The 12,871-nt window shown below is 38.4% G+C and overlaps 1 protein-coding gene across 8 annotated transcripts in view, besides 2 other annotated features; it reads right to left on the reverse strand.

The window, feature by feature from the left end:
- TMEM131 (transmembrane protein 131) overlaps positions 1-12,871 on the reverse strand; it is a 239,613-nt gene that overhangs the window by 126,441 nt on the left and 100,301 nt on the right. For all 8 annotated transcript variants that reach the window (XM_047443844.1, XM_047443843.1, NM_015348.2 and 5 more), the window contains one exon: positions 5,276-5,344. In XM_047443844.1, the coding sequence (XP_047299800.1) occupies positions 5,276-5,344 (69 nt within the window). The remainder of the gene's footprint in view (positions 1-5,275; positions 5,345-12,871) is intronic.
- Positions 3,966-4,467: an enhancer, noted in NCBI's record as "H3K4me1 hESC enhancer chr2:98503205-98503706 (GRCh37/hg19 assembly coordinates)". NCBI's record gives its function as "activates a minimal SCP1, AML or CMV promoter by ChIP-STARR-seq in naive H9 embryonic stem cells {active_cell/tissue: H9 hESC(naive)}" and the evidence as "EXISTENCE:reporter gene assay evidence [ECO:0000049][PMID:30033119]".
- Positions 4,468-4,967: an enhancer, noted in NCBI's record as "H3K4me1 hESC enhancer chr2:98503707-98504206 (GRCh37/hg19 assembly coordinates)". NCBI's record gives its function as "activates a minimal SCP1, AML or CMV promoter by ChIP-STARR-seq in naive H9 embryonic stem cells {active_cell/tissue: H9 hESC(naive)}" and the evidence as "EXISTENCE:reporter gene assay evidence [ECO:0000049][PMID:30033119]".

Below are 12,871 nucleotides of genomic sequence, written 5' to 3' on the forward strand. Positions count from 1 at the left end.
TTACACATGTTGGTTCACACCTGCCTGCAACCCCTACTTCTACAGATCCACTTCTACACTTGCGAGATATAACAAACTCCGCTCAGTGTTCTCTGACTTGATCCAGAAAGTTTTAAATAATAGTAGAATGGTGGCTCAGTCCTTTTGGACTGCTATAGCACAATAAATGACAAATTTATTTTTCATAGATCTAGAGGCTGGGAAATCTGAGATCGGGGTGTCGGCATGGTTGGGTTCTGGTGTGGAGCCTTCTTTCTGGGTCACAGGTGACACCTTCTAGCTGGGTCCTCACATGGCAGAAAGGGGACAGTAGCTCTATGGGGCCTCTCTTGTAAGGTCACTAATCCCATTTGTGAGATTAGGTCTGCGCTCCTGACCTAAACACCTCCTAAAGCTCCACCTCTGAACACAATCACATCAGAGATTAGGTTTCAATGTATGAATTTTGGGAGGACACATTCAGACTATAGCGAAGTTTGTTTGTCTGTTTCCACTATTTTGGAGCAGCATGTAAATCCGCTGCTTTGGGGAACAGTCTTATATAACTATACTCCTTTGCTATGCTTCAAATAAATTTTCTTTACTGTGTCAACTGACCCTTGCTTGTACTGGAGTTCATCTACCCATTCACACTTCTTCCACAAATCTTCCACAATTTCTCTCAGCTCATGAGATTTCAGGTTCTCTATGACTAGTAACAGTCTCTATGAGAAATCCCATTTATTTCCTCACTTGTCATAGACTGATTCTTTTATTTCTTTAAGTTGCTCCTTGTTCATGACACCGAACTGTTCTCTAGGCTAAAGGTTAATTAAAATCTTTAATATTCTGTATATCCTTCCATTAGGACTCTCTCTTGAGGAAAGGAAATAGTCATGGTTGTGTTTAAATCATCAGTTTCAGCACTGATCACAAAATAAAAAGTTTAAAACAATTAAAAATAAGTGAATTTAACAAATATAATATACCCATAAATTTTGATGTTCTTTATTATAAAATAACAGAAAATTCAATGGAATTTTTTGAAGTATGCACAATATATTGTTATAAAAATGGTATATTGAGATAATATGGTTAGATTTTTGTAACTCAACAAATAAATACAGATGTTCCCCACTTTTTGTAGGTATTTTTAGTCTCAATTTCATTCATTTTGATTTTGATCTTACTTATTTCCTTCCACTAATTTTGAGGCTTTGATTTGTTCTTTTCTAGTTCTTTAAGATGCATCATTAGGTTGTTTATTTGAAATCTTTCTAGTTTTTTGATGTAGGATTTATTGTTATATAAATTTGCCTCTTAATATTGCTTTTGCTGTGCCCCATAGGTTTTGGTATATTGTATTTCTATTTTCATTTGTCTCAAGAAATATTTTAGTTTACCATTTAATTTCTTCCTTCACCCATTGGTCATTCAGGAACATGTTGTTTGATTTTCACGTATTTGTAGTTTTGAATGTTCCTCTTGTTATCGATTTCTAGTTTTAAATTCCATTGTGGTCAGATAAGATAGTTGATAAAATTAATTTAAAAAAATTTTTTTGAGATTCATTTTGTGTCCTAACATACGATCAATCCTGAAGAATGCTTCATGTGTTGACGAAAGAAATGGTATTCTGCAGCTTTTTGGTGAAATGTTCTGTAAATGTCTGTTAGGTCCATTTAGTTGATGGTGTAGTTTAAATCCAATGCTTCTTTGTTGATTTTCTGTCTAGATGACCTGTCCAATGCTGAGAGTGGACTGCTGAAATCCCCAACTCTATTATTGTACTGGGGTCTATCTCTCCCTTTAGATCTAATAGTTGCTTTTTATATCTGGGTGCTCTAGTGCTAGGTGCATATATATTTCCAACTGTTATATTTTCTTGCTTAACTGATCCCTTTATCTCATAATGTCCTTCTTTGTTGCTTTTTATAGCTTTTTACTTGATGTCTGTTTGGCCTTATGTAAGTAATGCTACTCCTGCTGGCTTTTGGTTTCCATTTGGATGAAGTATCTTTTTCTTTCCCTTCACTCTCAGTCTGTATGACTTTACAGATGAGGTGAGTTTCTTACAGGCAGTATATAGTTGGGGTTTATCCATTCAGCCAGTTTATATCTTTTAGATGGGGGAACTGAACCCATTTACATTCAAGGTTATTGATAGGTAAAGACTTGTTCCTGTCATATTGTTCTCTGGATGTTTTATCTTTTGTTCTGTACTTCTTTTCTTATGGTTTTTCTGTGCTTGGGTGGTTTTCCACATTGATACGGTTTGATTCTTTTTCCTTTCTTTGTATTTGGGCTCTACCAGTGAATTTTATAGTTTCACATGTTTTCATAATGGTGGTTATGTTTTCATTTCCAGATATAAGAGTCCCTTAAGCATTTCTTGTAAGGCCAGTCTAGCAGTGATGAATTCCCTTCATTTCTCCTTGTTTGTGAAAGATTTTTTTTTTTGAGACGGAGTCTCGCTCTGTCACCCAGCCTGGAGGGCAGTGGCGCGATCTCCGCTCACTGCAAGCTCCGCTTCCCGGTCCATTCTCCTGCCTCAGCCTCCCGAGTAGCTGGGACTACAGGCGCCCGCCACCACGCCCAGCTAATTTTTTTTTGTATTTTTAGTAGAGACGGGGTTTCACCATGTTAGCCAGGATGGTCTTGATCTCCTGACCTTGTGATCCGCCCGCCTCCCAAAGTGCTGGGATTACAGGCGTGAGCCACCGCGCCCGGCCGTTTGTGAAAGATTTTAATTCTTTTTTATTTCTGAAATGTAGCTTTGCAGGGTATATAGTGTTCTTGGCTCACAGGTCCCCCACCCCCACTTTGAGTATTTTTAATATATCATTTCATTCTTTCCTGGCCTGTAAGTTTTCTGCTGAGAAATCTGCTGTTAGTTTAATGGGAATTCCCTTATATGTGACTTGACACTTTTCTCTTGCTACTTTTAGAATTCTTTGCCTTTAACATCTGATAATTTGACTATAATGTGCCTCAGAGATAACCTGTTTGGGCTGACTCTAATTGGAATTCTTTGAGTTTACTGGACCTGGATGTCCATCTCAAATTTCAAGACTTGGGAAGTTTTCAGCTACTATTTCATTAAGTATGTTTTCTAAGCCTTTCTCCTTTCTCTTCTCCTTCTGGAATGACCATAATATATTTGTTCACTTCATGGTATACAATACATCCTGTAGGCTTTCTTCACCCTTTTTTCTTTTTTTGTCTGCCTGTGTCATTTCAAAAGATCTGTCTTCAAGTTCAGAAATTCTTTCTTCTGCTTGGTTTAGTCTATTGTTGAAGCTCTTGACTGTATTTTTTATTTCACTCATTGAATTCTTCAGCTCTAGGATTTCTGTTTGGTTCTTTGTTATGTTACCTGTCTCTTTGTTGAATTTCTTATTCAAATCATGAATTGTTTTCTTGATTTTGCTGAACTGTAAGTTTTCCTGTATCTCACTGAGATTCTTTAAGATTATTTTGAATTCTTTCTCTAGCATTTAGTATATTTTCTTATGATTGGGGTCTGTTACTGAAGAATTATTGTTTTCCTTTGGAGGCGTCATGTTTCCTTGCTTTTTTGTGTTTGATGTGTCCCCATGTTGATTTCTATACATCTGGTAGAAAAGTCATTTCTTCCAATTTTATGGAGTACATTTCACAGGGAAAGACTTATTCTTATAAATGGGTCTTGGAGTGTCAGATTGGTGGGGTGCATTGGCTTTGGTGCATCTGTGTCTAGGTGGGCACTGTAGTGTAGTCTCTGGGTACTTTCCTCAGCTGTCAGTCACACTTGACGTCTGCAAGTATCTCAGTAGCCTAGGCTGAGAGAGTCTGTGGTGGTAGTGGTGCAGCTTTGTTGAGGGTGGGCTCACAAGGCTGTTTCTCAGGTCAGGGATGTGTGCATCCACACAGTGGGTCAGGCAGCTTGGAATCTGGCCAACTTAGGGTCTGGCTCTAAAACGCAGGGCTGTTACTCTGGACAGCAGCACAAGCACGTGTTTAGTTGGATGGTGTGGGTGTATGCCTGCCAGGAGTAGCCCAAAGGGCTGTTTCTCAGGCCTAGCTATCTGTGAAACTGCTTTGTGACGTGTGGATTTATGTCACAGAGTTAAAACTTTCTTTTGACTCAGCAAGATGAAAAAACTCTTTTTGGAGAATCTGAGAAGGGACATATAGGAGCCCGCTGAGGCTGCTCAGCTGAACTGGGAGTTATGTTTGCCAGGGATGGCCCGCAGGGCTGTTTTTCAGGCGTGGGATGCAGTCTCATGGCTTCTCAGATGGCTTGGGTGTCTGTTGGCTTGGGGTGACCCATGGGGCTGTTTCTCAGGGTGGGGGTGCAGACACATGGGTGTTTAGTTGGCCTTGAAGTGTGTCTGCCCTATGGGGCTGTTTCTCAGGTCCAAGACACAGTTGCAAGTCTGCTCAGCTGGCCCGAGGATGTGTCTGCCAGGGGCAGCCTATACAGCTGCTTCTCAGGTCCATGATGTGAGCACAAAGCTGCTTGGCTAGCCTGGGGACATGTTTGCTAGTGGCGACCCACAGGGCTATTTCTTAGGCCTGACACAGGCACAGAGATGCTCAGCTGGTCTGGAGGTGTGTCTGCCGGTGGTTGCCCACAGGGCTGTTTTTCAGGCCCTGATTTCAGGTGCAGGGCCATTGGGCAGGCCAAGGAAATATCTTGGGGGTGCACTGTGGGGCTCTTTCTTAGGTGCTGAGTGCAGGTATGTAGCTGCTTTGCTGGCCCTTGGGTATATTAGCTGCTTAGAGGCCCGGGGGTCTCTCCTGCTTGGGGGAGGGTGTGCAGTGGTTTGCTTAGCTCATCAAGGCAGAGTTCTGTGAATGAACCATGTCTGTCTGTGCGTTTGCTTTTACCTGCCATTATGGGTTGGTGATAATACTATTTGGTGATATATAAGAGCTTGTCTATTAAAAGCACATATATTAAACAAATAGAATATATTTTATTCATAAGAAGATTTTTAAATAGTAAAAATAAAAATGAAGTGCTAATCAAAACAGCTAACTATAAGTTCTTTGCTGTTTCCAAAGAGTCTCTGAACCAGAGACTACAACAAGCGAGTATTTTTCAAGCTTTAAAAGTTAATATTACATGTTAGACTCCTAATAGATACTTACTTCCCATTTTCAAACTGCATTCAGTATCATTTGTTTTCCTGATGACTAGAACATGTAACTTTCCCACATAGATGTAACACAGGCAAAAGACAAGACAAATGCATGTAAAATACATTTAATAGTTTAATGGGAAAGTACAGTCCAAAAATTTTAAACTTACTGTTCATGGAAATCCAGCATTGGTGGCTCAAATCGTATGGGCCTGCAATTCCCCCGGTAGAGAGATATACTGTAAATAAAAAGAAAACAACATAAGAAGCAATTCTTCAAAATATATGTTTCCCCAAACTCTATTCAGACAGCTGACTTTTGTCATAACAATGCCATTTTAAGAAAAATTGGGTCTAACAATCTATCAGAAATGTGCGTCACTTTTTAAATTAGCAGAAACCAATAAAGATTGCGTTTTAGAAAATGAAAAAGTGGGATTATTTTTCTTCTTCAAAGGTATATGCAAATAGAAAATGCTCAGGCAGACTGAATGTTGAAATTTATTTGGTTGGTATAATTGGTAACGATATACTTTAATAGGTCGCTTGGATTTTCTGATACATGTATGATGAATAAAGAGTTAATACAACTTACATACATTTAGCAGACAATATATGAAGACAAAAATCACAATCAGATTGTAACTAGAGTGGCAAAGGACTAAACAAAAATGAATTTGGGATACAAACTTCCAAGAATTGAAATATCTATTTCATCTGAGAGTTTGGAATACACTAGAACTGATCTCTGATGTCCTGGCCTCCATATTACAGTAGCATCTTCTAACTAACCCACCTGATACCAGAACTTCTCAATAGAACAGATTTCTGAATAGCAAACCTCAGACAACATCAGGGCCTAACGCTGATATAAAACATAAATGACTTTTGGTGGGGTAGGGGGAGTAGTGGTGGTGGTTCACATGCCTAAAGTGTCAGAAATTCAGTCAGAAAGTCAGAAATTCAGTCAGGCACTAAGTTTCAAAATAGTAGATTTTGATGTTTTTGTTCTAGGAAATGATGTCAGAGCAAAACCCATTTTGTGAGACTACTTTATTTCCATCATCACTGAAATTCATAGTAACGTAAGCTTTGAAATGATATAGTAATTTCATTCAGGATTAAGGAGTCAGAGGAAATATCCAGGATTTAGGAGATACAAGAAATAATTAGAAATAGACAAGGACATTCATAATATGGAGGAAATTTGGCTTTAATTCAATTCTATAAAGATTAAATAATCTGAGTAGTGGAATAATTTAGCTGAAGGTAATAAAATCCAAACATGTTTTTAGCCCTACCAATTTAGAACATTCTTTTGTGTAGCTTAAGAATCCCTCTGCATATGTTGAACAGAAAAGATGACAAACAAAAAAAGAAAGCAAGCACCAAAAGTAAGATTATATTTTACTAAAGCATGAAACTAAAGACACCGGGACATGAAGGCACAATTCCTTGCAACACAGTGTTGGCATCTATTCCTTCCTGCTTTCTGCCCTGTCTGTTTCTTAGATGTTATGTAACAAAAACATTCTTTGGCGCCTTTAAAACAAGAGATGCTCCTCAGCTCATTAGTTTCATTAGTATGAAACTCAAATTTACATAAATCTTAATCAAATCAAGGAAAAATAAAGTATAAGGCATAACTGTATGTCATTAATTCCTATATAATATTATATTCCTATATATAATATATATTCCTATAATGTAATATATATTCCTATATATAATATATAATTCCTATATATTAATTCCATGGACTGTTTAGATGTTGGAGAAAAAGGAAATTAAGATACAGTGTTTTTCTCTCACAGAGCCAAGAGGCTGTTCTGCAAATTACAAATGGAAATGTCTAAAGTGGCCAGGTGGGGTAAAAAAGTATATACCCCATCCATTCAATACAAATGTATGAATGTTTACTATATGCCAGTTACCGTCTATTGGCTGGGGCTACAGTGGGGAATAAAGAAAAGCACCTGCTCTCATGGCACTAACCTCCTAGTAGGGGGAACAAAAGTTGAATATGTTAGGTGAAAATGTGTGTATAAAGAAAAATCAAACACGGCGGGGCTGTGTTTAGAACCGAAAATGCCTCTCTGAGGAGGGACACTGCTGCCAAGACCTGAACGACAGAGATCTAGGGGAAGAAAGTAGTAATGTATTTGGCGAGTTGAACAAGGAGGCTGAAGTGACCACTGTGCAGTGAGGGAGGAGTAGGAGGTAGGAGCTGAGCTCAGAGGTACAAGAGCCAGGTCTCCTTGTAGGAGTATAGATTATTCAAAGTGTAACAAACTACAGTGTTTTTGAGCAAGGAGTAGCATGATCTGACACATATCATAAGGTTAATTCTGGCTACTTTGTGAAGTACCAAGGAAGTTCCTGTAGGAGCCCAACAGTGGGAAGCAGGGAAGTCCTGGAGTGCTCCAGGCAACTGGTGACGGCAGATACAATCTAGGGTGGCTGCAAGGGAGAGTAGCGAGCAGTGGCTGGTTTCTGAATATATTTGGAAGCTTGAGAAAACAGGTTGTGCTGATGGATTGATTTTGAGGGATCAAGGATAACTCATTCTAAGATTTTCACTGGATACACAGTCATGACATGGGAGGAGTGGGTTGGAAGTGGGAAGAGGTAGATTTTCAAGAGCATTGTTTTAGACATTTAAATTTAGATGTCTTATCTAGATGGAGATGTCATAAAGTAACTATACATGGATACTGTTCATATTAAAAAGTTACTAATTTTCACGTACTGATCTTATACCTAGTCACCTTGGTGAGTTTAATTCCAACAGTCTGTCTAGATTCTCTCATGATTTTCCACTGCTGCTATATGTGCTGCCAAAATGAGCACTATCTTGGATGATCACTGTAGACAAATCATCTGCAAGTAACAATTTGATTCTTCCTTTCAAATCCTTAGATAAGTTTTATTTTTTATGTCTTGTGCTAAGATCTCCTGTAAAATGCTTCAAAGATGTGATGTCCAGCAACTGTTACTGTGATATTTACAAAGTGCTCACAGAATGATATAGAAGAAACAGTACATCAAATATGATTCCCTCATAAATAAAAGCATATTTTCAAAACCATACCAGATCTATATCTAAGGAACAGTTTAATATCCGAGTGAGTACGATACAAGTTGACACAGGTACAATCCTATGTTAACCAAACCAAAAATGCAGTAACACAGCTGTCTCCACAGCTGATTCAAATGGTTCCTATCCACGTTTATTTAACATGGCACTGTTTAGTGCTTTATTAACAGAAAGCAAATGTCTGCAAATATGTAATATTGAAAAACAAACTAGGGAAGATGCAATATAAAGAGTGGTGGCCTTTGCTAATATCATTGCAGTTTTTTCCCTGATTTTTAAAATTATTATTATTACTATTTTTGAGAGACAGGGGTCTCGTTATGTTGCCCAAGCTGGTCTCAAACTCCTGTGTTAGAGCCTCCTGAGTAGCTGGGACTACAGATGCAGCATGCCAGTGTGCTGGGCTCACCCTTTGACAATTTCAAAGCAACAAAATCTGAGACATTATGATAGCATATTGCATTATTTTATGCTTTCTGCAATGATTACACATGTTCTGAAGTGTCAATACAATTGGTTTTATAAATTTTCACTAAAATCTTATTTATATGGAGATGAATGAAGACTATTTTCTGATTTCAAGCTAGGAAACAACTGAAGAGATACAAGAAATCTTGTGGGAAATGGTCATACTGCTTGTTGAACTGTCAGGTCAAAGTTGAGCAGGAAACTCCCAAATCAAACATATGGGCTTCTTGGGTCTCTGGGAGTTTAAAATGTTTTCCTAGGATCAACTACTACCTAAACAAAAGATACTCTTTGGCCCAGCATTTTTAAAACAATTGTTTGTGATGTATTTGCATCATAAACACCTACAATGTTTGTGGAAATGCAGATTCTGGGGCCCCACCTCCAGAATCTAATTCCTTGTAAGCAGAATGGACCCCAGAAACCTGCATTTTTAAGCACCCTCACATTTAGGAGCCACTATTTTGCATCTTGATCCACAAACATTACAGCCACAAATAAGAGGTGGGGAAGGAAGTGCCTTAACCAGTAAAACTATCAAAGTCACCAGCAGTTTAAATTGATTTCAAATATGATTTTTATTAAAGAGCCAGCTAAATAAACAGTGATTTAAATGAATAAGACTTCTCCTATATGATATATATTCTCCCATAAACACATTTTTAATTTGCACTTCCCTAATGATGAATAATGTTGACCATCTTTCCATTTACTTGGTGTACAATTAGGTATCTTTTGTAAACGTCTGTGGAAAGTTTTTTAACTGGAATGTCTGTCTTATTATTCAGTTGTAAGAGTTCTCTGTTACGTGCTGCAAATATTTTTACCCTGGTCCTGGTTTACCTTTTCCTTTTATTAATGGTGTCTTTTGAAGAGCCTAAGTTTTAAATTCTGATGAGGTCGAAATGATGATCATTTTTTCTTTTTTGAGATAGGGTCTCACTCTGTCGCCCATGCTGGAGTGTAGTTAGTGGTCCAATCATGGGTCACTGCAGCCTTGACCTCCTGGGCTCAAGCCACCCTCTTGCTTCATCCTCCCAAGCAGCTGGGACTACAGACACACACCACCACAACTAGCTAATTTATTATTATTTTTTGTAGATACAGGGTGTCACTATGTTCCCCAGGCTAGTTTCAAACTCCTAGTCTCAAGTGATCCTCTCACTGCAGCCTCCCAAAGTGTTAGAATTATAGGCGTGAGCCACTGTGCCTGGCCTCATTTTTTCTTTTATGGTATGTGTTTTTGGTATTTTAAAGCTTTGTCCAGTTTGCAAATATTTCTATGAAAAGCTTGGTTTTATCCTAAAAATTTTAAACCTTTAACTTTTAGACATGAGCCTATTTATTATTGTCTGTTTTAAGTTAATTGTGGCGATGGTGTGAGTTAAAGATTAAAGTTCACTTTTTCTTTCTCTGTAAATATCCAGTAGGCCTACTATCATTTGTTGAAAAAGACTTTTTTTTAATATACTTTAAATTCTGGGGTACATGTGCAGAACGTGAAGTTTTGTTACACAGGTATACATGTGCCATGGTGGTTTGCTGCACCCATCAACCCATCACCTGTATTAGGTACTTCTCCTAATGCTATCCCTCCCCTAGCCGCCCAACCCCCGACAGGCGTGTGATGTTCCCCTCCCTGCGTCCATGTGTTCTCATTGTTCAACTCCCACTTATGAGTGAGAACATGAGGTGTTTGGTTTTCTGTTCTTGTGTTAGTTTGCTGAGAATGATGGTTTCCAGCTTCATCCATGTCCCTGCAAAGGGCATGAACTCACCCTTTTTAATGGCTGCATAGTATTCCATGGTGTATATGTGCCACATTTTCTTTATCCACTCTATCTTTGATGGACATTTGGGTTGGTTCCAAGTCTTTGCTATAGTGAGTAGTGCTGTAATAAACACATGTGTGCATGTGTCTTTATAGCAGAATGATTTATAGTCCTTTGGGTATATACCCAGTAATGGGATTGCTGGGTCAAATGGTATCTCTAGTTCTAGGTCCCTGAGGAATCACCACACTGTCTTCCACAATGGTTGAACTAATTTACACTCCCACCAACAGCGTAAAAGCGTTCCTATTTCTCCACATCCTCTCCAGCATCTGTCATTTCCTGACTTTTTAATGATCGCCATTCTAACTGGCGTGAGATGGTATCTCACTGTAGTTTTGATTTGCATTTCTCTAATGACCAGTGATGATGAGCTTTTTTAAATATGTTTGTTGGCCGCATAAATGTCTTCTTTTGAGAAGTGTCTGTTCATATCCTTCACCCACTTTTTGATGGTTTTTTTTTCTTGTAAATTTAAGTTCTTTGTAGATTCTGGATATTAGCTCTTTGTCAGATAGATTGCAAGAATTTTCTCCCATTCTGTAGGCTGCCTGTTCACTCTGATGATAGTGCCTTTTGCTGTGCAGAAACTCTTTAGTTTAATTAGATCCCATGTGTCAATTTTGGCTTTTGCTGCCATTGCTTCTGGTGTTTTAGATATGAAGTCTTTGCCCATGCCTACGTCCTGAATGGTATTGCCTAGGTTTTCTTCTAGGATTTTTATGGTTTTAGGTTTTACGTTTTAAGTCTTTAATCCATCTTGAGATAATTTTTGTATAAGGTATAACGAAAGGGTCCAGTTTCAGTTTTCTGCATATGGCTAGCCAGTTTTCCCAACATCATTTATTAAATAGGGAATCCTTTCTGCATTGCTTGTTTTTGTCAGGTTTGTCAAAAGATCAGATGGCTGTAGATGTGTGGTGTTATTTCTGAGGCCTCACTTCTGTTCTATTGGTTTATGTATCTGTTTTGGTACCAGTACCATGCTGTTGTGGTTACTGCAGCCTTGCAGAATAATTTGAAGTCAGGTAGCATGATGCCTCTAGCCTTGTTCTTTTTGCTTAGAGTTGTCTTGGCTACGTGGGTTCTTTTTTCGTTCCATATGAAGTTTAAAGTAGTTTTTTTCAATTCTGTGAAGAAAAGTCAATAGTAGCTTGATGGGGACAGCATTGAATCTATAAATTACTTTGGGCAGTATGGCCATTTTCACGATATTGATTCTTCCTATCCATAAGCATGGAAAGTTTTTCCATTTGTTTGTGTCCTCTCTTAATTTCCTTGAGCAGTGGTTTGTAGTTCTTCTTGAAGACGTCCTTCATATCCCTTGTAAGTTGGATTCCTAGGTATTTTGTTCTCTTTGTAGCAATTGTGAATGGGAGTTACTCATGATTTGGCTGTCTGTTATTAGCGTATAGGAACGCTTGTGATTTTTGCACAGTGAAGTATCCTGAGACTTTGCTGAAGTTGCTTATCAGCTTAAGGATATTTTGAGCTGAGATGATGGGGTTTTGTAAATATACCATCATTTCATCTGCGAACAGAGACAACTTGACTTCCTCCTTTCCTATTTGAATACTCTTTATTTCTTTCTCTTGCCTGACTGCCCTGGCCAGAACTTCCAATACTGTGTTGAATAGGGGTGGTGAGACAAGGCATCCTTGTCTTGTGCCAGTTTTCAAAGGGAATGCTTCCAGTTTTTGCCCATTCAGCTTGATAGTCGCTGTTGGTTTGTCATAAATAGCTCTTATTAGTTTGAGATATGTTCCATCAATACCTAATTTATTGACAGTTTTTAGCATGAAGGGGTGTTGAATTTTGTCGAAGGCCTTTTCTGCATCTATTGAGATAGTCATGTGGTTTTTGTCGTTGGTTCTGTTTATGTGATGGATTACGTTTATTGATTTGCATACGTTGAACCAGCCTTACATCCTAGGGATGAAGCCAACTTGATCGTGGTAGATAAGCCTTTTGGTGTGGTGCTGGATTTGGTTTGCCAGATTTTATTGAGGCTTCTCGCATCGATGTTCATTAGGGATATTTGCCTGAAATTTTCTTTTTTTGATGTGTCTCTGCCAGGTTTTGGATCAGACGATGTTGGCCTCATAAAATGAGTTAAGGAGGATTCTCTCTTTTTCTATTGATTGGAATAGTTTCAGAAGGAATGGTACCAGCTCCTCTTTGTACCTCTGGTTGAATTTGGTTGTGAATCTGTCTGGTCTTGGACTTTTTTTGGTTGGTAGGCTATTAATCACTGCCTCAATTTCAGAACTTGTTATTGGTCTATTCAGGGATTCGACTCCTTCCTGATTTAGACTTAGGAGGGTGTATGTGTCCAAGAATTTATCCATTTCTTCTAGGTTTTCTAGTTT

This window comes from Homo sapiens, chromosome 2 (assembly GCF_000001405.40).
Source record: "Homo sapiens chromosome 2, GRCh38.p14 Primary Assembly".
NCBI lineage: Eukaryota > Metazoa > Chordata > Mammalia > Primates > Hominidae > Homo > Homo sapiens.